The sequence below is a fragment of the Homo sapiens genome, chromosome 6 (genome assembly GCF_000001405.40).
Source record: "Homo sapiens chromosome 6, GRCh38.p14 Primary Assembly".
In the NCBI taxonomy this organism is placed as follows: domain Eukaryota; kingdom Metazoa; phylum Chordata; class Mammalia; order Primates; family Hominidae; genus Homo; species Homo sapiens.
Genome location: NC_000006.12, coordinates 151,113,196 through 151,140,603, shown reverse-complemented (window position 1 = coordinate 151,140,603; position 27,408 = coordinate 151,113,196). Strand labels below are relative to the sequence as shown.

General features: G+C 45.1%; 1 long non-coding RNA gene across 1 annotated transcript in view, besides 2 other annotated features; it reads left to right on the top strand.

The window, feature by feature from the left end:
* LOC124901432 (uncharacterized) overlaps positions 1 to 27,408 on the top strand; it is a 62,877-nt gene that overhangs the window by 10,367 nt on the left and 25,102 nt on the right. The window contains exons 2-3 of the long non-coding RNA XR_007059813.1: positions 1,738 to 1,855; positions 2,859 to 2,999. This is a non-coding gene — a long non-coding RNA (uncharacterized LOC124901432). The remainder of the gene's footprint in view (positions 1 to 1,737; positions 1,856 to 2,858; positions 3,000 to 27,408) is intronic.
* Positions 10,342 to 11,333: an enhancer, noted in NCBI's record as "H3K27ac-H3K4me1 hESC enhancer chr6:151450407-151451398 (GRCh37/hg19 assembly coordinates)". NCBI's record gives its function as "activates a minimal SCP1, AML or CMV promoter by ChIP-STARR-seq in naive H9 embryonic stem cells {active_cell/tissue: H9 hESC(naive)}" and the evidence as "EXISTENCE:reporter gene assay evidence [ECO:0000049][PMID:30033119]".
* Positions 21,577 to 21,871: a silencer, noted in NCBI's record as "tiled region #10334; K562 Repressive non-DNase unmatched - State 21:Repr". NCBI's record gives its function as "represses a minimal TATA promoter and a strong SV40 promoter by Sharpr-MPRA in K562 cells {active_cell/tissue: K562}" and the evidence as "EXISTENCE:reporter gene assay evidence [ECO:0000049][PMID:27701403]".

Here is a 27,408-nt window from a genome sequence, read left to right as displayed (position 1 = left end):
TTCTTCTTTCACACAGAGGGCAATAATAACTTTGACAGTAGAAACTCCCTTTAGTGGACAGGCTAAGTAGGGAATCCTGTTGTGTGAGCCGAATGTGCCCAAATGCCCTTGTTTTCTATTACTTGGGTTTAATTAAACCTAGATCTCTCTTATTAGGAAGAAACTTTAAAGTCGGAGCAGCGTATTCACCAAGTACAACGTGAGGGCTGGTGGAGAAAGGCAGATGAGAGGCCATGAGCATCTTTAGGGTGTGTTTCTGACTTCAAAAATCTCCTAGGTGTGGGGGCCTCCCTTGCCCTGGGCTCCTCCCTGGTCTCCCTGCCCGCAAGTAGCAATGGTCAGTGTGAAAAGGACCGTGCATCCACCTGTTTCCTCTACCCTCTAAATAATTGGAATTTTGTCTCAGCCAGGCACTGTTCTAGGCACTGGGGATGCAGCCGTGAACAAGGCACATGCTCTCCAAACCTCTTGTTTCTGCCCTTCTGGGCAGGTAGAGATGCACTAAATAACCAACCACACAGGTACTACAGATCTGGGCCTCTGGTTCTCCTGGTTTGCATACTCCCCTAAGAAGTGGTTCATGAGTCCGGAGCCTGGGAGACGAGCTGCCTGAGGCAGAGGCTGGATAAAACCCTGCCCCTGCAGATCTGCGCTGTGGGGTCCTGAAACAGGGGTGTCTGAGGCTCTGCAAAGCTCTCCCCCCAGCTGACACTCCTCATTGTTGACCCTTCAATGCAGACAATACTTCTCATGGAAGCCTTTTCTGCCTGTCCAGGTTTGGGTTGGCTGCGCTGCCTGGTGCCCCCTCGGCCCCCTGCGCTCACCCCGTCACACCCCTGAGCACACGGTGCTCTGATTGCTAGCTTCCTGCCTGCCTGCCAGCTAACGGGGCGCCATCAGGCAGGCTGGACCGTGCCTGTGGCGCTCCACCGGATCTCCAGCTTCGCACAGGGCCTCAGCATGTCACAGTCACTCAGTAAATATCAGTTCCATGAAAAGGAAAGGAGGAAGAGGAGATGACAGTGACTAAAGACAAAGGATCAAAGCTGGGACTCCATTTTATTTCACCCATGATCACTCCGCTATCACTCAACAACCTGGCTATTTAAAGAAAGAGTGCCCAGGCTGGAGTGCAGTGGTGCAATCACAGCTCATTGCAGCCTCAGCCTCCTGGGCTCAAGCGATCCTTCTGCTTCAGCCTCCTGAGTAGCTGGGACTAAAGGTACATGCCACCATGCCCGGCCAATTTTTAAATTTTTTGTAGAGATGGAATCTTGCTCTGTTGCCCAGGCTGGTCTCAAACTCCCAGGCTCAAGTGATCCTCCTGCGTTGGCCTCCCAAAGTGCTGGGATTACAGGTGTAAACCAAAGTGTCTGGGCTTTTTCAGCTTTTAAATGAGGATAATACAAGGAATTAACAAACTTGTGGTGAAATTCAAATAAAATAATGAGTGCAGTGGGGTGATCTCGGCTCACTGCAACCTCCACCTCCCTGGTTCAAGCAATTCCCCTGCCTCAGCCTCCTGAGTTGCTGGGATTACAGGCGCACGCCACCACACTCAGCTAATTTTTTTGTATTTTTAGTAGAGACAGGGTTTCAACATGTTGGCCAGATTGGTCTCAAACTCCTAACCTCAGGCAATCCACCCTCCTCGGCCTCCCAAAGTGCTGGGATTACAGGCGTGAGCCACCGCGCCCAGCCCTACATGTATTCATTTTTAATGTTTATGTTTTTTAGAGACAGTCTCACTGTGTCACCCAGGTTGGAGTACAATGGCATGCTCACTGCTCACTGCAGCCTCAACTTCCCTAACTCAAGTGATTCTCCCACCTCAGCCTGTTAGCTGGGATTACAGGTGCGTAATTTAAAAAAAAATTTTTTTCTTAGAGGCAAGGTCTCACTATATTACTCAGGGTGGTCTCAAACTTCTGGTCTCAAGAGATCCTCCTTGGCTTGGAACCTTGGCTTGGAACCTTCCAACACTTGGAAACCTTGGCTTTCCAAAGTGTTGGGATTACAGCACGGGGTGAGCCACCATGCCTGGCCTGGTTATTACGTTTACAAGATTATAATAAAAATGAAGAATATACCACAGAGACGATATGTGGCTTGCAAAGCCTAAAATATTTACTGAAAGAGTTTGTTGAGCCCTGGTCTGTATTCAAATGTGTACACATGATACAGATCTCTCTCTCTCTCTATCTCTATCTATCTGTGATAGATAGATATCTGTATATATGTGTACATATATATGCGTATATTTCTGGCCCAAAGGTTTTATATATATGTATAGACATACAAAGGTTTTATATACACATATATACATATATAACCTTTGGGGTATATACAAAGGTATATGTACATACATACATATGTATATATAACCCAAAGGTTATATATGTGTACACATATATATAAAACCTTTGCATGTCTATACATATATGTATGTATACATATATATAAAACCTTTGGGCCTGAAATCCTAGCATTTATCTCTACAGTCATGTGCCACACAACAATGTTTTGGTCAACAACAGACTGCATGTATGACAGTGGCCTCAGAAGATTATAGTACCACATTTTCACTCTACCTTTTCTATGTTTTCATACACAGATATTAAATCTTATTAAATCTTACCACCATGTTATAGTTGCCTACAGTATTCAGTGCAGTAACATGCTGTTCAGGCTTGTAGCCTAGGTGTGTAGCCGGTTATTCCATCTAGGTTTGCGTGGGTTTGCTCTATGATGTTCACACAATGACAAAATTGTCTAATGTTGCATTTCTCTGAACGCATTTTTTAGGTTAAGTGATGCATGACTGTATATTTATTTATCCCCTCCCTCATTCCACAAAGGGTTCTGTCAAAGCAGATGACTCCCAAAGGTTTCATAAATCTTCCGGAAAATAAGCTCCTTCAGCTATATAATCATGGCACCCACGGCTTAAAAGTTGACAGTGAGAACAGCATTGAACAGCCTGCTGCATTCAGCAAAAGGTAATGAGACATGATGAGAGGCTCAGAGGAAGAAAGCTGATATAGAAGAGCAACCTCCGCTAGGAAAGATGATTTACAATTTATATAGAACTTTGTATTTTAAAGTGTATTTTAATTCCCTGGTATCAATTTTGCAGTAACTCCTAGATGGTCTGTATGATGTTAACTGTAGACAAATCAATGCAAAAATAATAGTCTAAGTAGACACTAGGCTGTGATCTGTCAGTCTAAAATTTGTTTTCTGGTGTCATAGCAATACCAATTTTAACTATTCCTGCTTTCCTCTAGAGGTAATTGAACAGTATTTTTTTTTTCGAGACAGAGTTTCACTTACTCTGCCGCCCAGGCTAGAGTGCAATGGCAGGATCTCAGCTCACTGCAACCTCTGTCTCCTGAGTTCAAGTGATTCTCCTGCCTCAGCCTCGTGAGAAGCTGGGATTACAAGCATGGGCCACCATGCCTGGCTAATGTTTGTATTTTTAATAGAGACGGGGTTTCGCCATGTTGCCCAGGCTGGTCTCGAACTCCTGGCCTCAATGGATCCACCCGCCTGGACCTCCCACAGTGCTGGGATTACAGGCAGGAGCCACTATGCCCAGCTGAACAGTATTTTAATGGCCATCACTGTTATCTTCCTTTGAGATTTGGGAAAGTGGTAGCCAAGTTTTTAGGGTCCCTCAGCTGAAGTGGAGGACCCAAAGGTCGGAAAGAGAGGAGGGGCAGGGCTGGGAGGGAGAAAATGGAAGAGACACATTCCCCAAAGACCGAAGATCTGCACAAAATATGGCTTACTTGAGAGGAGGGGGTCAGAGAATAGAAGAAAAACAACACACTAGAAGCTTGGTGCAGCAGCCGGGGTTACAGGAGCAAACACACCAGAAGTGTTTTCCTAATTTTCCTGGAATCAGTATTCAGTACACTCACTGGCCATACCAGTAACTCCTCCCCTGCGGACCTCGTCAACTCTCCCCAAAGACAACTGCAGACAATTTATGCATCTAGCTCTCCGAGAAGATAAAGTGGTTTCTTAGGCAAATTGCTCAAGTAACACTGTTCTGTGTGTTGTTTACTGCTTTGATGTCTCCCTTCCCAGCCGCTTAATGATTAGACTGCTGGCTGCTGGCAAACGATTCTTTATGTGCCAGGTGGAAGAAAGGAAACGTTGAAGTGTGAGAACCAGATCAATGGTTAGCCTGGAGTGAATTCTTTTAACTCTGTGAGCAGCAGCGCCCTGTTAGTAAGAGAATCCCAGGGATAGACAGAGGACGGCTCTGTGGTCCCTGTATTAGTTTGCGAGGGCAGCCTTAAACAAACTAGATGACTTAAACAACAGAAATGTATTGTCTCACAGTTCTAGAGGCTAGGAGTCCAAAAATCCAGCTGCTGGCAAGGTCGGTGTCTTCTCAGGGCTGTAAGGGAAAGCTCTGCTCCAGCCTCTCTCCAAGGTGTGTAGAGGCCGTCTTCTCCTTGTGTCTCTTCACTTCTTCCCTTCGTGTCTGTTTCCAAATTTTCCTTTTTCCCTTCGTGTCTGTTTCCAAATTTTCCTTTTTTTTTTTTTTTTTTTTTTTTTTTTTGAGATGGAGTTTCGCTCTTGTTGCCCAGGCTGGAGTGCAGTGGCACAATCTCGGCTCACTGCAACCTCCACCTACCAGGTTCAAGCGATTCTCCTCCCTCAGCCTCCCGAGTAGCTGGGATTACAGGCATGCACCACCATGCCCAGCTAATTTTGTATTTTTAGTAGAGACGTGGTTTCTCCATGTTGGTCAGGCTGGTCTCGAACTCCCGACCTCAGGTGATCCACCCACCTCGGCCTCCCAAAGTGCTGGGATTACAGGCATAAGCCACCACGCCGGCCAATTTTTCCCTTTTTATAAGGACACCAGTCACCCTAATGACCTTATGTTAACTTGATTATATCTCCAAAACTTTGTCTCCATAAAAAGTCACATTCACAAGTCCTGGGATTAGCATTTAAGCATGTCAACTTTTGGGGGAGGCCAAGGCAGGCAGATCGCCTGAGGTCAGGAGTTGGAGACCTGCCTGGCCAATATGGCAAAACCCTGTCTCTACTAAAAATACAAAAATTAGCCGGGCATGATGGCAGGGGCCTGTAATCCCAGCTACTCAGGAGGCTGAGGCAGGAGAATCGCTTGAACCAGGGAGGCAGAGATTGTAGTGAGCTGAGATCTCGCCATTGCACTCCAGCCCGGGGAACAGAGTAAGACTCCATCTCAAAAAAAAAAAAGAAAAAGAAAAAAGAAAAGAAAGAAAGACTGGTCAATTTAAAAGAAGAGAAGACAGAGAGACACAGAGGATAGGTGGTCATATGAGAAGGAGGCAGGTATTGGAGTGATGCAGCCACAAGCCAAGGAATGCCTGAGGCCGCCAGAGGCTGAAAGAGACGAGGAAGGACTGACTCTCCCTTGCTGGTTGCAAAGGGTGCATAGCCCTGATTTCTGTCTTTGAGCCTTTAGAACTGTGAGAGGATAAGTGTCTTGTTTTAAGCCACCCAGTGTGTTTGTGCTATTTTTTTACTGCAGCCACAGGAAACGAATACATTCTTATTCAGTGGGTGAAAATAGAGACCATTGGTTGTGAATTCTCTCAATTTCCCACAGTGTCCTCTTACACTTACCCATAAGCACACTCCCTAACTTTTTTTTCTGAGGTGGAGTCTTATTCTGTCACTCAGGCTGGAGTATGGTGGTGCGATCTTGGCTCACTGCAGCCTCCATCTCCTGAGTTCAAGCGATCCTCCCACCTCAGCCTCCAGAGTAACTGGGACTACAGGCATGGGCCACCACGCCTGGCTAATTTTTGTATTTTTAGTAGAGATGGGGTTTCACCATGTTGGCTAGGCTGGTCTTGAACTCCTGACCTCAAGTGATCCACCTGTCTTGGCCTCCCAGAGTGCTGGGATTACAGGCGTGAGCCACCACACCTGGGCCAACTTGTTTACATCCACATCATCCTTACAATTTCTCTCCGGTCTCAGGGACTGGGAGGAAGAGACATTTTTCCTATTCAAGGTTAATCCTTCCCTTCTGTTATTCTCAAGTGGCCTTTCCAGCTCCTCCCAAGGCCTTACTCTTTCAGTCTCTCTCTCTGTCTCTCCCTGGCTTATTTCTCAGTTCATAAATGCTCTGTCCCTCTAGCCCCTTCCATGCAGTCTGCATCCCATATGATCTGTCTTCTGTCTTCATTGCTTCAGCAACCGGCTACTGCCAAGGTCATCAGTAAACACCAAACTACCAAACCCAACGAACATTTGCTGTGGTTCTCTTACTGGACTCCCAGTGGCATTTGCCTTTGCTAACCATTCCCTTCTTCTGGAACCCTTCCTTTCTTCGCCTCGGAGACACACGCCTGGTTTATCCTAGTTTCCTTTGCTGATTCGTCTACCTCTATCTATAATTCCATGCTGGTGTTTCTCGTGGTTTCACCCTTTTTCTTTCCAGTCTATAGTCTTGTGGGCAATCTCATACCCACAGTTAGAACTACCCCCTATATGGTGCAAGGCAGGGCAGAGACGTGGAGGGAAGCAGGGTCTTCAGGCCTGAGCTGCTGGATCACATCAGCCCTTCCTTGGGTCTTTTCAAATACGTAAGCCAATCAGTTTCCTTTGTTGTTTCGGCCTGTTTAAAATGAGCTTTCTGTGTCTTGTAGCCAAGCGTCTTGATACACTGACCTAGTCTAGTTAATTTTGTGTTCTACATGTAACTCAGAACCACCATCTCCCTGTCTTTCCTAATCTCTGCATTCCCATCCTTCCTGCTCCTAAAGGGGAGAGGCATTTTTCTTTTTATTTATTATTAATTATTATTATTATTATTGAGACGAGGGTCTTCCTTTATTGCTCAGGCTGGAGTGCAGTGGTGTGATCACAGCTCACTGCAGTCTTGATCTCCCCAGCTCAGGTGATCCTCCCGCCTCAGCCTCCCAAGTAGCTGGGACTATAGGTATGTGCCACAACATCCAGCAATTTTTTTGTATTTTTTTATAGAGATGAGGTTTTTGCCATGTTGCCCAGGCTGGTGTCAAACTCCTGGGCTCAAGCAATCCACCCACGTCAGCCTCCCAGAGTGCTGGGGTTATAGGTGTGAGCCATCATGCCTGGCCAAGAGAGGCATTTTTATTAAAGCTATTCTCCCCGCACCCCCTAAAAGTTGTATTGCTTTCTTCTTCTAGGTCAGTGGGAGGAGCTTTAGCTTAGAGTAATTCTTTATAGAAGAAGGCATATTTGCTTTAAGGTGGTCATCTTTAGTCCCTAAAACAGGTGGTGAGATGAGAAAAAACAAAACGTGATTGCTGGGAGTGCCTCTTGGCAGGGGCCATCTGAGTTTCCTCTGGCTGCTGCAACAGGAATTTAAGCAACACATTTAGTGGCTTTGTATTCGTCCATTTTTCATGCTGCTGATAAAGGCCTACCTGCGACTGGGTAATTTATAAAGGAAAGAGGTTTAATGGACTCATACTTCCACGTGACTGGGGAGGCCTCACAGTTATGGCGGAAGGCGAAAGGCACATCTTACACGGCAGCCCGCAAAGAGGGAATGAGAGCCAAGCAAAAGGGGTTTCCCCTTATAAAACCGTCAGATCTCATGAGACTTATTCACTACCATGAGAACAGTCTGGGGGAAACCACCCCCATGATTCAATTATCTCCCACCAGATCCCTCTCACAACATGTGAGAATTATGGGAGCTGCGATTCAAGATGAGATCTTGGTGAGGACACAGACAAACCATATCAGGCTTCAAATAGCAAGAATGCATTTTCTCATAGACCTGGAGGCCAGAAGTCTGAAATGGAGCTTGTGGACATGGCTAAGTTTCCTCCAAATGTTCTAGCAGAGAATCCACACTTGCCTCTTCTGCTGCTGGTGGCTCCAGGCATTCCTTGGCTTGTGGCTGCATCACTCCAATCTCTGCCTCCATCCTTTCCTGGCTTCTTCTTTGCGTGTGTCTCTGTGTCTTCTCCCCTTCTGTGTCTTATAAGGACATCTATCATTGGACTCAAGTCTGACCTGGTTAATCCAGGGATGATCTAATGTTGAGATCCTTCATTGCATCTGCAAAGACCTTTATCCAAATAAGTTCACATTCACAGGTTCTGGGTGGTCATACCTTTTGTGGGGAAAGGCACGATTCTATCCACCACAGGCACCCTACTAATGTGCCTTGGAAACTGTCTGACACTGTCTTGGATCACCTCCTGGTCATTTCTTGGCCAGCTTATCATAAAAGTTGCCTTCCTGCCCACAAGCGGTCTTTTTTTTTTTTTTTTTTTTTTTTTTTTTAGATGGAGTCTTGCTCTGTCGCCCAGGCTGGAGTGCAGTGGCATGATCTCAACTCACTGCAACCTCTGCCTCCCGGGTTCAAGAGACTCTCCCGCCTCAGCACCCTGAGTAGCTGGGATTACAGGCACCTGCCATCATGCCCAGCTAATTTTCGTATTTTTGTAGAGATGGGGTTTCACCATGTTGGCCAGGCTGGTCTCGAACTCCTGACCTCAGGTGATCTGCCCGCCTCGGCCTCCCAAAGTGCTGGGATTATACGCATGAGCCACCACGCCCGGCCACCTGCTCTCTTCTAGGCCCTCCTCTGGTTAGCATCAAAATGATCTTCCCTATAATGGGAAACTGATCACATCATTCTCCTGCTTAAAAAGCATGCTTCTAGAAAGTGAGACTGCATCAGCACTATAATTCTGAATGCTTCAGAAAATATGTTGTAATGGAAGCATTGCCAAGATTTCAAACTGCAGAGACTTTGCTTCAATTTGTAAATTAGAACAATTTAAATGCATTCATCTGGATGATGCCTGCATATAAAGCTCCCAGTCTGATGCCCAAATGAGTGCATTAATATAGGGGCTGTAGTTTCTGCCCAGCTGCTTTATCTAATTGGATGCAAATTAAATATGCATACTTAGTAAAGTGAATTTGGAAACTCCACAGTCCTTCAGAGGAAACAAACTTACAAATGTTCAGTATGGCCAACCAGTTCCCTTAGACTTAGCATAAGATAATTTTCTTAAGCATCTCACACTTCATCATGAATTGAGAACATAGAATTCCCATTACACATGAGCTAGCAAAGGATGAAGAAATGGTGAGCGCAGGCCCCAACCTAATTCCCTTGAGACCTTGCAAATCTGCTTTACTTCAACACATGCAAAAAAGTCAAGTTAAAATGGACAAAACTATTTAAAGATGTCTTGGTGCTCCTTATAAAATGCTAATCTCCAAGAACGCACTGGGAGTCACCCGCAGGAGCACTTAGATTTCCAAAATCACTACACAGTCTAAACTCCTAATGACTTATGAGCCTTCCCCATTGGAACACAAATCATATTAAAAAAAAAAAATTTATCTCCGAAGTCTAGACAATACAGGTTTAAGACATGATTAGGTCTCAAAAGTGTCACTAAGTTGAGCTGTTCTCACTGGGTCTATTCAAGGCAGCCCAGCCAGACCCCTTGCATGTGCCACTATATGGATTAGGATTGGGTTCTTTATAATGTGCCATCACAGCTTGGCTTTTGCTTTGATTTCTTGTCACTTGAGAGAGCAAATGACAGAAATTTAACGCAAATGGGTGTAACATAAAAAAGTGTTTCTATTGGCTCAGACTGAAGAGTTTGGGGAATGGTTTGGCTTGAGTCATCACTGAATCCAGGGGCTTAACAAATGTCATCAGGACGTGGTTCCTTTCTTCATCATTCACTATCCTTTCTTTTTTGTCGGCTTCATTCTCAAGACATCTCTCTCTAGGTGGTACCGTAGTAGGTCCAGGCTTACTTCCTACTAACTCAGCAACTTGAGTTGAAGAACTAGTACTTTGTTTCTCCAAAACCTCCTGCTATCCCCAGAAAAGTCCTAGGATTGGCTTCCACCAGCCTAATTTGGGTTACATTTCCATCCATAAACCATTGGCATATGTATTAGTTCATTTTCACAATGCTATAAAGAACTGCCCAAGACTGAGTAATTTATAAAGGAAAGAGGTTTGATTCACAGTTCGGCATGGCTTGAGAGGCCTCAGGAAACTTACAATCATAGTGAAAGGGGAAGCCGGCTCATGTTACAATGGCGGCAAGCGGCAAGTGAGAGAGAAGAGCAAGCAGGGATGATGCCAGACACTTATAAAACCATCAGACTCACGAGAACTCACTCACTACGATGAGAACAGCATGGGGGAAACAGCCCCCATGATTCAATCACCTCCCACTGGGTCCCCCTCCCTTGACATGTGGGGATTATGAAGATTGCAATTCAAGATGAGATTTGGGTGGGAACACAGGCAAACCATATCATTCCCTGGCCCCTCCCAAATCTCATGTCCTCACATTTCAAAACACAATCATGCCTTCCCAACAGTCCCCCAAAGTCTTAAGTCACTCCAGCATTCACCCAAAAGTCCAAGTCCAAAATCTCATTTGAGACAAGGCAAGTCCCTTCCACCTAGGAGCCTGTAAAATCAAAAGCAAGTTAGTTACTTCCTAGATGCAATGGGGGTACAGGCATTGAATAAATGCTCCCATTCCCGATGAGAGAAATTGGCCAGAACAAAGGGACTACAGGCCCCGTGCAAGTCCAAAATGCAGCAGGGAAATCATTAAATCTTAGCGCCAAAATAATCTCCTTTGATTCCATGTCTCACATCCAGGTCATGCTGATGCAAAGGTGGGCTCCCATGGCCTTGGGCATCTCCACCCCTGTGGCTTTGCAGAAGGCAGCCTCCCACCCTGGCTGCTTTCATGGCTGGTGTTCAGTGTCTGTGGCTTTTCCAGGCACATGGCGTCCGAGTGAAGAGACTACCAAACAGGCTTTGTGTGAGCAACAAGGCTGTTTATTTCACCTGGGTGCAGGCGGGCTAAGTCCGAAAAGAGAGTCAGCAAAGGGTGGTGGGATTATCATTAGTTCATATAGGTTTTGGGATAGGCGGTGGAGTTAGGAGCAATGTTTTGCGGGCAGGGGTGGATCTCACAAAGTACATTCTCAAGGGTGGGGAGAATTACAAAGAACCTTCTTAAGGGTGGGGGAGATTACAAAGTACATTGATCAGTTAGGGTGGGGCAGAAACAAATCACAATGGTGGAATGTCATCAGTTAAGGCTATTTTCACTTCCTTTGTGGATCTTCAGTTGCTTCAGGCCATCTGGATGTATATGTGCAGGTCACAGGGGATATGATGGCTTAGCTTGGGCTCAGAGGCCTGACACATGGTGCAAACTATCAGCGGACCTACTATTCTGGGGTGTGGAGGACAGTGGCCCTCTTCTCACACCTTCACTAGGCAGTGCCCCAGTGGGGACTCAGTCTGGGGGCTCCAACCCCCCTTTTCCCTTCTGCACTGCCCTAGCAAAGGTTATTCATGAAGGTTCCGCTCCTGCAGCACACCTCTGCCGGGTCATCCAGGCACTTCCATGTATCCTCTGAAATCTGGGTGGAGGTTTCCAAACGTCGATTCTTGTCTTCTGTGCACCCACAGGACCAACACCATGTGGAAGCTGCCAAGGCTTGGGGCTTGCACCCTTTGAAGCAATGGTCTGCACTGTACATCAGCTCCTTTTAGTCACAGCTGGGATGCAGGGCACCAAGTCTCCAGACTGCACAAAGCAGCAAGGCCCTGGTTTGTTTGTTTGTTTGTTTGTTTTTTCCTCCTGCTAGGCCTCTGGGCCTGCAATGGGAGGGGCTGCTGTGAAGACCTCTGACATGCCCTGGAGACATTTTCCCCATTGTCTTGGTGATTAACATTTGGCTCCTTGTTACTTATGCAAATTTCTGCAGCTGGCTTGAATTTCTTTCTAGAAAATGAGTTTTTCTTTTCTATTGCATTATCAGGCTGAACATTTTCTAAACTTTGATGCTCTGCCTCCCTTTTAAACGCAAGTTCTAAATTCAAACCATCTCTTTGCGAATGCATATAACTGAATGATTGTAAGAGCACCCAGATCACATCTTAAATGCTTTGCTACCTAGAAATTTCTTCCGCCAGATATCTTAAATCATCTCTCTCAAGTTCAAAGTTTCACAGATCTCTAGGGCAGGGGCAAAATGCCACCCATCTGTTATAAATAAAAGTGCCACAAAAGAAATACCACTCAAATATAAAATTTTCTTTTTAATTCTCAGCAAGGCAAGTTACTTCTATAGAGGGGTGTGTCCTTACAGATGAAGCAATGATGAGCGCACACTTGGACAAGGGAGGGGAAGGGGTTCTTATCCCTGACCCACGTGGCCCCTGCTGCTGTGTCGTTCCCCTATTGGCTAGGGTTAGACCGCACAGGCTAAACTGATTCTGATTGGCTAATTTAAAGAGAGTGACGGGTGAGTGGTTTGGTGGGAAAAATGGTTATGACAGAGCAGGTAATCTGAATGAATCAGGGTGGAGCAGGTGATTGAAATGAGTCAGGGTGGAGCAGGTAATCAAAAAAGGTTGCCTTACAAGGTAGTTAAGTTTAAAAGTAGAATGCAAAGAATTGAACATACTGACATTGATTCTTTGAAAAGAAATTTAGAACTCCTATCTAACACATCTCTTTGCAAAGTATAGCAAGAGTGACCTTTGCTCCATTTCCCAACAAGTTCCTCATCTCCTTCTGAGACCACCTCAGCCTGGACTTCATTGTTCATATCACTATCAGCATTTTGATCAAAACCATTCAACAAGTCTCTAGGAAGCAATAAACTTTCCCACATCTTCCTTCTTCTTCTGAGCCCTCCAAACTATTCCACCCTCTGCCTGTTACCCAGTTCCAAAGTTGCTTCCACATTTTCAAGTATCTTTATACAGTACCCTATGCCTGGTACCAATTTACTGTATTAGTTCATTTTCACACTGCTATCAAGAAATGCCTGAGACTGGGTAATTTATAAAGAAGAGAGATTTAATTGACTCAGTTTGGCATGGCTGGGGACACCTCAGGAAACTTACAATCATGGCAGAAGGGGAAGCAGGCACATCTTACATGGCAGCAAGCGAGAGAGAGGAGCAAGCAGGGGAAATGCCAGATGGTTATAAAACTATTAGATTTCATGAGAACTCACCCAGTCTGATGAGAACAGCATGAGGAAACTGCCCCCATGATCCACTCACCTCCCACCAGGTCCTTTCCTCAACATATGGGGATTAAGGGGATTGCAATTCAGGATGAGATTTGGGTGGGGACACAGCCAAACCATATCAGCATACCTAGGTTACTAGCTCATATCCGGAGCCAGCGATGGCGTTTGTCCCACCAGAATCACTCAAGCGTAGAGTGATGAGGTTCCCCAAAGGAAAACTAAGGTGTCATTTCTAGACAAAGAGGATTCAATGCTAGGAAGGCAAAAGCAGTATATCTATTCCACAGTAGGATGTGAGTCATCAGTACACAGGAGGTAGTAAGAAGGCTAGGAGCAGTGGCTGACACCTGTAATCCCAGCATTTTGGGAGGCCAAGGCAGGTGGATTGCTTGAGTCCAGGAATTCAAGACCAGCGTGGGCAACATGGCAAGGCCTTGTCTCTACAAAAACAATACAAAAATCAGCTGGGCATGGTGGCGTACACCTGTAGTCCCAGCTACTCAGGAGGCTGAGGTGGGAGGATTGCTTGAGCCCAGGGAGGTCAAGGCTGCAGTGAGTCGTGATCATGCCACTGCACTCTGGCCTGGGTGACAAAGTGAGACCCTGTCTCAAAAAAACAAAAGAAAAGAAAAATGATAACAACAAAAAAACCCAGAAAGAAGTAACAAAAGCACTACTGTTTCATCTCTGTATTTTTACTTTCTGGTAGTTGAAAGAGAAGAAATTGTTGGCCAAAATAATATACATACATATATCCTTAGATCTATATCTATGTCTATCTATAACTATATCTATAGTCATATAGTCATTTGTATTAGAAGATACAGCTCCTGAACTTTATTGCTCTTTAGATACTGATCCATATGAGATTCAGAAGAGACCAGGTAATGCATTTCAGGTTTATTTGTGATGAATATATAGCACCGAGCTTCAGGAACTGATTTGCTTCTCATGCGCATTGGTACTAGTCTGACTGTCATCACTCTGTGACATCGGTCCTCTCTGAAGGACCAAGAGCTCCCCTTCTCTCCTCATTGCTTTAGGCCTGACCTTTACTGAGATCCCCCTCCTAATAGTCTGTAGTCTACGACAGATTGGCAAAGTAAACTTTGGCCATTTCTATGTTTGTTTTTTTCTGCACTGGCAAGAAACAGTCACTGAACATTGATTTATTGAGTATAATTTGTCTGTGTTTTAAAAGTTTAGAAATGTGTTCTTTGGACTACACACTTGGCCTAAAACACCCAGTGGATTACCACACATATACCCCCACCACTTGCCCTACGTCACCAATGGTAGGGTGGCCACATCCACTGTTTACAAGGATCTATTGTTTAGGACTGAGTCATTAGCACAATCCTGTCTTCCTAGGCTTATTAGAGAAATCGAAGACAGGATATTTGAATTGAAAGGTACCTACAAATCCATCTTCTTTGCCACTGATTGATTGAATCCCTTTCATACTGTTTCTTGAGGATGGTCAATCAGTCTTGCTTAAGAACTTCCCCCAGGAGGAAAATCACTATTTACAGATTCCCCAGCCCCTTGCATTGCTAACAGTTTGTATCATGAGAAAGTTCTCGCCCATAGAGTTGCTCTCTCGTTAATAGTCACCTCTTCTTAAAGCAACAAGGCCAGTTTTGAGGAATCTCTTTGTGCCCCTTTTCAGTAGTAGATCAGGGTTTGCACTTCAAAGGATATCGTGGGTGTCTTTTTATGAGTCAAAGGCTTATCATCTTTATTGCAGATCAGTAACAAGGCAGGTTTCTGGAATGTGTATATGGTTTCCGTATAAACAGTCCCCAAACTCATGTATCAACCTGACAAAGTCTAGACTCAAGAGTTTGTTTCAGGAAGAAAAAAAAGAGCCAGCCATGATAGAAAGAATCGCAAGCCTATAAATTGTGCTGAAGTGTGTTTATATAACTAGATTAGAGTTTAAATAAAGCAATTCAACGGTAAACTAAACTACAAGTCCTAGTGGTAAAAGCAACCTCTGAAGAGTCAGTGGAACAGACAGGTTACACTTGTTTTGATTGTGCACACAAGGGAATACTGATTTCCAAACGGATGGCTAGCACCTCAGGACACTGCTTCCAGAGGGCAGTTTTCATCATTGTCATTCTCATTTTGAGAAACTGAAGTTCAAAGAGATGGGTGACTGCCCTAAGTCAGACAGAGCCCTTATTTCAAGGGCCAGGGATACCTATGACCCCTCTGACCTAATCCAGGTGACAATTTACAGCTGATTCATATGACCCTGGTGACTCAAGCCAGTACCCCAAAGCTATTTCCCATTTAATGAGACAAAAATCTCACCTGAGAGTGCCATACTAGCTGTGAATTTTCATCAGATTCTTAGAGATGCCTGCGACTTTCTGCCTTCTCCTCCCATCAATATTTAGAACTCTTGAATCATAGTTCAACTATCAATCAAGTTTTCTAGAGAACCAGGGATATAATTTGCTCAGTGATTTTGGCTTATGCTAAGGGTTAAGTCAGTCAGAAAAGAAAAACAGAGGGACCAAAGTAATATATTCAAGCAATATACTCAAAACCAGTCGAAGAAGAAGCTGAAGGAGGAAGTTTGTGGGGTTTATTTTTATTTATTTATTTATTTATTTGAGACGGAGTCTTGCCCTTCGCCCAGGCTGGAGTGCAGTGGTGCAATCTCAGCTCACTGTAAGCTCCACCTCCCGGGTTCACTCCATTCTCCTGCCTCAGCCTCCCGAGTAGCTGGGATTACAGGTGCCCGCCACCATGCCCGGCTAATTTTTTGTATTTTTAGTAGAGGCAGGGTTTCACCATGTTAGCCAGGATGGTCTCGATTTCCTGACCTTGTGATCTGCCTGCCTTGGCCTCCCAAAGTGCTGGGATTACAGGCGTGAGCCACCACGCCCGACCGCTTGTGGGGTTTATAAGCAAAATCAATGCTTTATAAAATTGTATAGCCATGTGTTAAGTAAGTGTAATTTTAAGGCAAACTGCTTTATACTGTATGTGTACGGTTACAGATACAAAACTATACAATCATATATCACTTAATGACAGGGATATGTTCGGAGAAACACATCGCTAGGCATTTCTGTGCAAACACCGTAGGATGTACTTACACAATCCCAGACAGTATAACCTACTAAACACCTAGGCTATACAGTATAGTCTATTGCTCCTAGGCTACACACCTACACAGCGTGTGACTGAACTGAATACTGTAGGCAATCGGAACACAATGGTAAGTACTTGTGTATCTAAACATAGAAAAGGTACAGTAAAAATACAATATAAAAGGTAAAATAAGGCCAGGCATGGTGGCTCACACCAGTAATCCCAGCATTTCGGGAGGCCGAGATGGACAGATCACCTGAGGTCAGGAGTTCAAGACCAGCCTGGCTAACATTGTGAAACCCCATCTCTACTAAAAATACAAAAATTAGCCGGGTGTGGTGGTGCACACCTGTAATCCCAGCTACCTAGGAGGCTGAGGCAGGAGAATCACTTGAACTCGGGAGGTGGAGGTTGCAGTGAGCCGGGATTGCACCACGGTACTCCAGCCTGGGCAAGAGGAGTGAAACGCCATCTCAAAAAAAAAAAAAAAAGGTAAAATATGGTCCACCTGTACATGGCACTCACCATGAATGGAGCTTGCAGGACTGGAAGTTGCCTGGGTGAGTCAGTGATGAGTGGGGAGTGAATGTGAGGGCCTAGGACGTGACCGTACACTACCGGAGACTTCATAAACACTGTACACTTAGGCCGCAATAAGTTTATTAAAAATATTTTCTTTCTTTTGCAATAAATTAACCTTACCTTACTGTACCTTTTTAACTCTATAAACTTTTTTTTTTTTTCTGGTACTGCTCCTTGCAGAGCAGGGCTAACCCATAGGCAGCATGCCCAGAGTTGGCCTCTATAAACTTTTAATTTTTTTAACTTCTTGACCCTTTTGTAGTAACGCTTAGTTTAAAATATGAACACACTGTACAGCTGTACAAAAACATTTTCTATCTTTAACTCCTTATTTTATAAACTGTTTTCTATTTTTAAATTTTTTTTTTTTTTTTGAGACAGAGTCTTGCTCTGTTGCCCAGGCTGGAGTGCAGTGGTGCGATCTTGGCTCCCTTCAAGCTCCACCTCTCGGGTTCACGCCATTCTCCTGCCTCAGCCTCCCTAGTAGCTGGGACTACAGGTGCCCACCAGCATGCCCAGCTAATTTTTTTTTAATTTTTAGTAGAGACGGGGTTTCACCATGTTAGCCAGGATGGTCTCGATCTCCTGACCTCGTAATCCGCCCACCTCAGCCTCCCAAAGTGCTGGGATAACAGGTGTGAGCCACCGCGCCTGGCTGATTTTTGTATTTTTAGTAGAGATGAGGTTTTGCCATGTTGGCCAGGCTGGTCTCAAACTCCTGGCCTCAAATGATCCGTCCACCTCGGCCTCCCAAACTGTTGGTATTAGAGGCACGAGCCACGGCACCCGGCCCTCACCTAGACCACTTTAAATAACTCCCAATTGGTTTCCCTGACTCTTGGTTCTCCTTTCTCTAATCCATTTTCTCTAGGGCCATGAGGCAATCTTTGCTAGAAACACTTTTATGGATCGCTAGTGCCCCCGGAATAAAGCCCACACTTCTAATGTGTCATTCTGGACTTTCTGAAACCTGGTGCTACCGTATTTTTCTTTTCTTAAATTTTTTTTTTCATGATCCACATTCATATCGTAATATTTTTCTTTTTCTTTTTTTAGAGACCGGGTCTGGCTCTGCCGCCCAGGCTGGAGGGCAGTGGTATGATTATAGCTCACTGTAGCCTCAAACTCCTGGGCTCAAGCAATCCTTCTGCCTCAGCCTCCCAAGTAGCTAGGACTATAGGAGCATGCTACCATGCCCAGCTAATTTTTTAATTTTTGGTAAAGACAGGGCCTTGCCATGTTGCCCAAGCTGAGCTTGTGCGATCCCCCCACCTTGGCCTCCCAAATTGCTGGGATCACAGGCCTAAGCCACTGCTCCTGGCCCCTTACATACCTTTCTAATCTCGTCTCCCACCACGTTACCAGAAACCAAATATTCTTCCATTCATCTGTTAGGATCCACCTAAGACTCTTGTTTATAACTTATTGCATCATGGACATCCCTACAGAAGGCAGCTTTCTGTATGGGAAGGTTGTATTTTCCAAAGAAGGTCTTACCTATAGATGTATCCCCATCTATGTGCTCTTCTTAGGGTGTGATTGATGTTCATCCCACAAAGATGTGGGTTGATGTTCCTTCCCTTTAAAACTGAGTAGAGGCTTGTGATCAGCTTGGTCAGTGAAGTTTGGTGGAAACAGTGCTGGGTGACCTCCAGGTTAGGTCATAACAAGGATACAGCTTCTGTCTGGCTCTCTCCATCTTTGGATGCTTGCCCTTGGATCCCAGCCACCAGACCACATGGAGAAGCCATATGTGAGTGTTCCAACCAACAACCCTATTAGTCTCTCAGTTGACAGATGGCATCAGTGGTCAGACAAGTGAGGGAATGAGCCTTCAGAGGATTCCAGTTCCCACCTGTCAGACTTCCAGCTGAGCCCCCAGACATTGTGGCGCAGAAATAAAACTGTTCTCCCTCTGGGCCTCTCCAAATTTCTGATCTACAGAAACTATGAAAAATAATAAGTGACTGTTGCTGCTGTAAGTCACCAAGGTTTGGAGTAATTTGTCCTGCAGTAATAGCTAACCGATACAGTGTTACTTACCTGGTTTTACCCACTCCAGGTAACAGATCTTCGTTATCAATAGATAGTATCCAATGCAGAAATCTACGTTTAACGTTACCAGCAAAAGGCCTTTCAAATTTTGGATTTTGGCCGGGCGTGGTGGCTCACGCCTGTAATCCCAGCACTTTGGGAGGCCAATGTGGGTGAATCACTTGAGGTTAGGTGTTCAAGACCAGCCCGGCCAACATTGTGCAACCCTGTCTCTACCAGAAATACAGAAATTAGCCAGGCATGGTGGCACGTGCCTGTAATCCCACCTACTCAGGAAGCTGAGGCAGGAGGATCTCTTGAACCCGGAAGGCAGAGGTTGCAGTGAGCTAAGATGGCACCACTGCACTCTAGCCTGGGCGACAGAGCAAGACTCCGTCTCAAAAAAAAAAAATTGGAATTTATAGGGAAAAAAGAGAGTGAATATTTGAATCCTGATGAGAAAATGAAGGCTATACATGTGTGCATGTGCGTGTGTGTATCTTATGCATAAATACATAATGATACGAATGCTAGTCAGTGGAGTTCTGATTACAACTATCAGTTCCACCTCTGTGAGTTCTGGTAAGGAGCTTTAGCCAATGTGGCATTGAGCGGAAAGGTGAGCTTGGGTTTAGATTTCTGTTATTTGCACTTGAGCTACTCCCCTATTGAGTCCTACGCCATTATTTTCCCAGGTTGTTAGTTGTGGCATTGGATGCTCCTTGTTTAAAGACCTAATATTATTTTCAAATCCATCTCTATCTCTGCAAGATGATTGCTCTATTTGGCTTCAAGTTGCAAAGCTCTGTCATTGATTTAGACAATGATTTATTCCATTAGCGATCTCCTTCATTCTTAATGGCCACATAATGTCATTGTACGAATGTTCTAAGGTGGTTTTATTGTTGTTGTTATCAATATCTAGGTTGATTTTCAACAATTTTAGTCAAGGAAGGTAAATACCCCATGGGCAGCCAAGGCTCAATTGTACTCTTGCTGCCTCTTCTTGCATTTCTTCCTGCTTCTCTGGCTGACGGTCACTGGGCAGAGCCCTGATTTTTGCCGTGGCTTAGAGAGACAGAACGAATAGTGGTTAAAAACAGACTTAGAGAATATTTGAAGGTCAGTGAACCTTCATTGCATCCTGAGAGTTAGCTGATGTCTGCTTCAAGGTCTGGAAGCGCAGGAGAGTCAACTCTTGATTGTATTAATGATGAGAAATAGGAGTCAGCACAATCTAAAATGATGCCTGTCTTCTCACTGTACTTTAATTACATAAGAAAAGTGTGTGTCTAATTTGAGGGGATTTCAACTTGTTGAGACAGAAATAAAGGAACCTACTGTGAAGACCTGACTTTGAAGGAGCCAGCAGGCTGACGAGCTGGCCTGTCTGTAAGCCTCCCTCCCTGAAGAGATGACAGCGCCATCCGTCACCCAGTAGGAAACAAAGTGCAGCAGAAACGGCGGCTCTTTTTGCTGGACTTAGGTCTTCTATTATGGGCTAATCGCTTTTTCAGGGAGAAAAGTTCTTTGTAGTTTGCTTCAGATGTTCTTCCTGCTGCAGGGCTGAGCAGCGGCTGAGAGCACGGGCTCGGGGCTCCTCCAGTCCAGAGTCCATAGCCCACTCCACCCACTTGCTCACTGGTCAAGGACAAGTCCCTGGATCTCTGTAAGGCTCAGTCTCTCTCTCAGATGAGGGTAATCACACCACCCTCATGGCCTCCTCAAGAGTAGTGAATGAGGTAATGCTTATAAGATGTGCAGCAGAGAGCCTGTAAGCTCTCATAAATGGCAGTTGTTATTAAACCTAGAATATCAGAACTGCAAAAGATGGTAACAGACTTTTTTTTTTTTTTTTTCAAAAGTTTCATTTTGTAGGCCAGGCGTGGTGGCTCATGCCTGTAATCCCATCACTTTGGGAGGCTGAGGTGGGTGGATCACTTGAGGTCAGGAGTTCGACACCAGCCTGGCCTACATGGTGAAACCCTGTTTCTACTAAAAATACAAAGATTAGCGAAAGGTGAGATGACTTATTCAAGGTCGCATAACTAGTTTGAGTAGAATTCAGGTCGTCAGAACCAGGGCTCACTTAAGCAGCAGAGATAATATGGTTAAGAATGAAGTGACAAATTTGTGTCAGATGAGTCAAAAGTTTTGTAGGTGTGCTAACGAATGTACTTAAAAACATTTTTTTTTTTTGGCAAGGTGCGGTGGCTCCCATCTGTAATCCCAGCACTTTGGGAGGCCAAGGTGCGAGGATCATTTAAACCCAGGAGTTCGAGACCAGCTTGGGCAACATAATAAGACCCCATCTCTACAAAAAATTTTAAAAATTAGCTGGGCAAGGTGGTGCACACCTGCGGTCCCAGCTACTCAGGAGGCTGAGGCGGAAGGGTCATTTGAGCCCAGGCCAAGAGAACGAGACCCAAAACTGTAATATGGCAAAATATATGCAACATAAAACTTACCATTTTAACCATTTTTAAGTGCACAGTTCAGTGGCATTAAGCTCATTTACACTGTTGTGTGACCGTCACCACCATCCATCTCCAGAACTTTTTCCATCCTTTCCAACTGAAACTCTGTACCCAGTAAATAATAATTCATGAACGTTTATACCAGAATTAAAATATTTTGAATTGGAAAATTAATTTCCAGGGTGTCCTAGCATATAGTTATGACTTAAAAATCTCCTAAGTTCTCCTCTTCGCCTTCAATGATCAGTGTATCATCACATCATTTTTTATCACTTTTACTTAGAAACAATTTATTCATTTTTGGCTCATGGGGAGCTCTTGGTCTTCCACTCTCCACCCCTGGATGTGTCCTTGGTCTGACCAGGGCCTGGCTGGAGAGGACGTCCGTGTCCTCTTGGACTCTTGGCCTTAGAGCATGTATTCTCACTCCCAGCCACTGCCTTCTCCACCCCCACCCCATTTTTCCAGGATTCTTCAGGAACCTTGGTCCCTAATACAGAGTGTCTGACATTGACACCAATGTAGTGACTAAGGGAAGCAAGAAATGTGCTCTCTTCACAGGAATGGGCCGAGTCCTATACGATACGTAGAGAAAAAAAAAAAATAACCTCAAACCAGTAGCTGTAACTCACACCTGGGAAGCTGTCAGGGCATAGTGACAGCCTAATAGTGAAAGTGAAATCTTTGCATCAGGAAAACTTCTGCCACGGGCTGAGCTCCTGGGAAGCAGAAGCTGCACAGGCTGAGAGGTCTGTTCATGTGGAGAGACTGTTTCTATGCTCAGCACACTCTTCTCTCGCAGAATGATTTCATCTCAGACCTGACACCTTCAACATGCCACTGGGGTATATTCAGGAGAGCCTCATGCTCTTTCTCACTTCCCAGTACAGAGTTTCCTTGTAGGCCTTTAAGCCATTCCCTATAGTTCTTTCCTTTGGAATTATCAGTGCTTCTTAATCATTTTTTCTCTGTTAAATCAGGCCAGGAGCGGTGGTTCATACCTGTAATCCCAGCACTTTGGGAGGCCGAGACAGGTGGATCACTTGAGGTCAGGAGTTCGAGACCAGCCTGGCCAATATGGTGAAACCCTGTCTCTACTAAAAATACAAAAATTAGCTGGGCGTGGTGGCACGTACCTGTAATCCCAGCTACTTGGGAGGCTGAGGCAGGAGAATCCCTTGAACCTGGGAAGTGGAGGTTGCAATGAGCCGAGATCATGCCACTTCACTCCAGCCTGGGTGACAGAGGGAGACTCCATCTAAAAAAAAAAAAAAAATCCCAATCACTCACTAAAAAAACTAAATTCTGTAATAATAATATTAAGAATAGCTTAACTATAAGCACTTAATACCTGCCAGGCACTGTATTAAACACATTACATTTGTAACACATTTTATTAATATGTTCATGGTAACCCTATAAAACTATATTATTATTACTATTACTATTATTATTAAGAAGACAGGGTCTCCCCCTTTCATTCAGGTTGGAGTGCAGTGGCGTGGTCATAGCTCACTGTAGCCTCAAATTCCTGGGCTCACATGATCCTCCCATTTCAGCCTCCTGAGTAACTGGGACCGCAGGTGTGTGCTACCACGTCCAGCTAATTTTTTTATTTTTTTGCAGAAATAGTGTCTTGCTTTGTTGCCCAGGCTGGTTTTGAACTCCTGGGCTCAAGTGATCCTCCCATCTTTGCTGCCCAAAGTGCTGGGATTACAGGCATGAGCCACTGCACCCGGCCACAATTATTATTATATGACATGGAAACCAAGGCATCGTGAGGATAAGTGACTGAGGTTGTATGGGCAGGAAGCAGAGAGTTGGCTAGAAGGCCAGGCTGTTGAGGCTCTACCCTCACTCCTTCTGAATCTGCTCTCCCCAAAAAGGGCAATTCTAGCCAGTCTGCCATTGCCCAGCTACGTTTGAAAGATGTTCAAATTTGGGGCAGTATGTTGAAAATAAATGATATTATAATGCCTTTAAACATAGCCAATAAAAATGTTAATCATTCTAGTAGCCAAAAATTGAAATACTAACAAAAATCCTTATTTTTTCAATTTTTGAGCAAAAATATATGTAACATAAAATGCACTGTTTTAACCAGTTTAAAACATTATTTATTTATTTGTTTATTTATTTTTAGAGACAGGGTCTCACTCTGTCACCCAGGCTAGAGTGCAGTGGCATAATCATAGCACACTGTAGCATCAAACTCCTGGGCTCAAGACACCCTCCTGCCTCAGCCTCCTGTGTAGCTGGAAGTACAGGCACATGCCACCATGCTCAGCTTGTTTTAACCATTTTTAAATGTACGACTCAAAGTATTTTTCTTTTTTTTGAGATGGAGTTTTGTTCCGTTGCCCAGGTAGGAGTGCAGTGGCACGATTCAGCGCACTGCAACCTCTGCCTCCCAGGTTCAAGCAATTCTGCCTCAGCCTCCCTAGTAGCTGGGATTACAGGCACCTGCCACCACACCTGGTTAATTTTTGTATTTTTAATAGATACGTGGTTTCACCATGTTGGCCCGGCTGGTCTTGAACTCCCGACCTCAAGCGATCCACCCACCTTGGCCTCCCAAAGCACTGGGATTACAGGCGTGAGCCTCCGTCCCGGCCCAACCCAAAGTATTTAAATACATTCATGACATTGCATAGCCATCACCACCATGTAATCCCAAAACCTTTTCATCTCCCTAAACAGAAACTCTGTACCCTTTAAGCAATAACTCCCCATTAGCCCCCTCTGATAACTTTCAATCTCCTTTTTATCTCTATTCATTTGCCTAAATTATAGACGTTTTATGTAAGTGGAATCATATTCTATTTGTCCATTTGTATCTGGCTTATTTCACTGAGCATGTTTTCAAGGCCCATCTACATTGTAATACATGTCAGAATTTTACCCATTGTCTATCTGTCCCCCGTTTGGTTTATCCATTCATCTGTTGAGGGACACCTGAGTTGTTTCTAGCTTTTGGCTACTGTGAGTAATGTTGCTATGAACGCGAGTGTTCAAGTGTCTGTTTGAGTCCCTGTTTTCAATTCTTTGGGGTATATACCTAGGAGTAGAATTGCTGGGTCATATGGTAATTCTATATTTAACTTTTTACACATTTTTTTTTGCTATGGAAATAAAGAGCTTTTAAAAAAGGAGCTAGACTGCAATTGTATGAAGTAAACTTCATTGATACAATTGAAATCCAAATAAATGATTCCATTTGTGGTTGAGAATGACAATGATATTCTTATTTTATTGTATTATTTTACTTACTTTTTTTTAAGCAACAGGATCTCACTATGTTGCTCAGGCTGGAGTGCAGTGGTTATTCACAGACGTCGTCATCATAGCTCACTGCAGCCTCGAATTCCTGGGCTCAAGTGATCCTCCCAGCTCAGTCTCCTGAGTAGCTAGAACTACAGGCGTGGCCCACTGTGCTCAGCTGATAATGATATTCTTGACAATATATTTTTAATTTTATAACACAAACGCAAGAAACACTTGAATTGTGAAAACCATAATACAAATTCAGCCTAATGAGAGTGAATTTGTGCTTGCATTCCAAGGATCAGAGTCTCTGCATTCTTGGGGTGATGTTTGAAACACAGGCTGGAAGAGCTGGCCACCTCTGCCATGAGCAGTGTCTATACGGAGGTGCTGGGTCTGGCATGGGACCTTTATGCTTGGGAGGCCAGGGGCCCGGCTGAGGGAGGGCACGGTGCTGGGCAGAGAGAGCCGCGGGAAGGGGCACTTCCAGATGCCAATTTGGGGTTGGGGGTTTGGAGCAGCAGAAACACCAGCTTCTGTCGGAATTTACTCCTTGGCCACCAGTGGATCAGAGGAGACATAGTTCAGAGTTGCAGGTGGTCTAGGGTTTGAGAGAGCAAAGCTGTTATGAAAACCCTGAGTTTCACTCTGAAGGCGACTAAGAGAAGTCTTGGCCAAACCAGGAAGGCGAAAGGTGCCTCACATTCCTCGTTTCCTCTGGAACACCTCGTCAGAGCTTTGTTGTTGTTGTTGTTGTTGTTGTTGTTGTTGTTTTTGAGATGGAGTCTCGCTCTGTCGCCCAAGCTGGAGTGCAGTGGCGTCATCTTGGCTCACTGCAAGCTCCGCCTCCCGGGTTCACGCCATTCTCCTGCCTCAGCCTCCCGAGTAGCTGGGACTACAGGCGCCCGCCACCACACCCGGCTAATTTTTTGTACTTTTAGTAGAGACGAGGTTTCACTGTGTTAGCCAGGATGGTCTCGATCTCCTGACCTCGTGATCCGCCTGCCTCGGCCTCCCAAAGTGCTGGGATTACAGGCGTGAGCCACCGCGCCTGGCTGTTCTTTTTGCTAAGTTCAATACACCTTTTTCTGCTTGCACCACGGCAGGGTCAGTGCCTGGGTGGGAGTGTCTCTCTGAGGAGGGAGGCTGGTGGTGTGGGCCGTGGGGGAATGGCTGTGACTTTGACATTGCTCTCCTGGCCGGCCTGATGACCTCCCCTCTGCCCTAGAGTGACTGCTACGGGGTCCCGTTAAAACAGAAGCATCCTAAGCAAATGAATAATAGAGTTACACTGGATTCAATTTCTTAATAAAGTACCCCAGGGAATGAGTTTTCTCTCCAACTCTTTTCTAAGGGCACCTTGGGTGGAGAAAGAGGAAGAGATTGTTCTAGAGTCAGGGTGCCCTCAGGCAGGGCGCCATGCTCATCAGTGTTCCACGGAGCCCAGGCCTGGCCCTCATGTTGGGCTTCGAGTCCGCAGGGTGGGGCCTCTGTGGGAGCCGCCATGGGTTTTTCCTCACAATCATTGTGCGCATGGGGGTGTCCTGCCCACCGAGGCCTTGGCTCACGCCTGTACTCATAGCTCCTGGGAGCTTTTGGTGGAGACCCCCAGACCAGGCAGGAAGTTTTTACAGCTTTCTGGGCTCGGTTTCACCACCCAACTCCCTTCTCCCCACCTTGAAGACTTTGGAGCTTGTTGGATTCAGCCCCTTGGGCTTGCAAGTCTCAACTGCATTCAAGCAGGTGGAACAAGTCTTTAAGGAAAAAACCTTATTCCTTTCACTTTATAGATTGTTAATTCTGCATTACTATTGAACCCTGGGCCTGTTTCAGCAAATGTGAAGTGACCATACCCATCCTTCATTGCCATTTTCTACCAACCTCAGGACAAAGTTTCACTTTCCTTAATGGCACCTGGCTCATGGGTTCTCTTTGTGCTGTTTCCTGCTGCCATCTTGGGCAACGGTAATGTCCATGTTGATAATGAATTGGTGAACTCATTCATCCCATGAAAGAATTATTGAGCAGCTCCTAAAGGCTGCTAAGCAGGAATATAAATAACACTACTATTAGTAATCATGATAATGATGATACTAACACTCAATGAGTACCATATCTGAAACCCAGTACTGAGCACTTTATTCACAAAGTTCTTCCTTCATAACAACGCTGTGAGGCTGGTGCTGTTGTTATCCCCATTGTACAGATAAGGCAAATAAGGCCCAGAGAGGTTAAGTATTTTGCCCAATGTCACACAGCTAGTGAAGGTTAGAGCCAGGATTCAACCTGAACTCTGATCCATTATTCTATACTACACTCCATCACGAAGAAGGAAGGTGGTGATTTACCTAGCGTCCCAGTGTCGATTGAACCCAGCTGTGTGAATCTTTCCCTAATCCACATGGTCACGGTCTCTCCATCCACCACCTCCCTCACCCTCCAGTCTGGTTCTTGCACATTTCTGCAGCATCACTTCCTTTGAGAAGCTTTTTCTGACTCTGCTCCAGGCTCCTCCCTTCTGCTACCTCCCTGCCTCCACCTCTGTCTTGGGTCCTATGACGCTCTTTTGCCTACTCAATAGTGAACCTCCTGAGAGCAGACACCTCGCCCATCATCTTTGCATTCTCAGGGCTGGGTGCAGGGTCTGCCACATCGTGGTGCTCTATAAACTGTGGAAACAAAGACAGGAGGAATCACCATTCTGCATTCCATGGAAGTTGTGTGCTTATCTGCCTGCAGCGAGGAGTCCTTACTCCTAGAACCAGGCTCAGTATCATACATAGGGCAAGTGCTTAAAAGTGTCATAATTTGAATCACACACCCCATAAGACATCTATTCATCTCTCAGATGTAATAACTCAGAGATGATTTC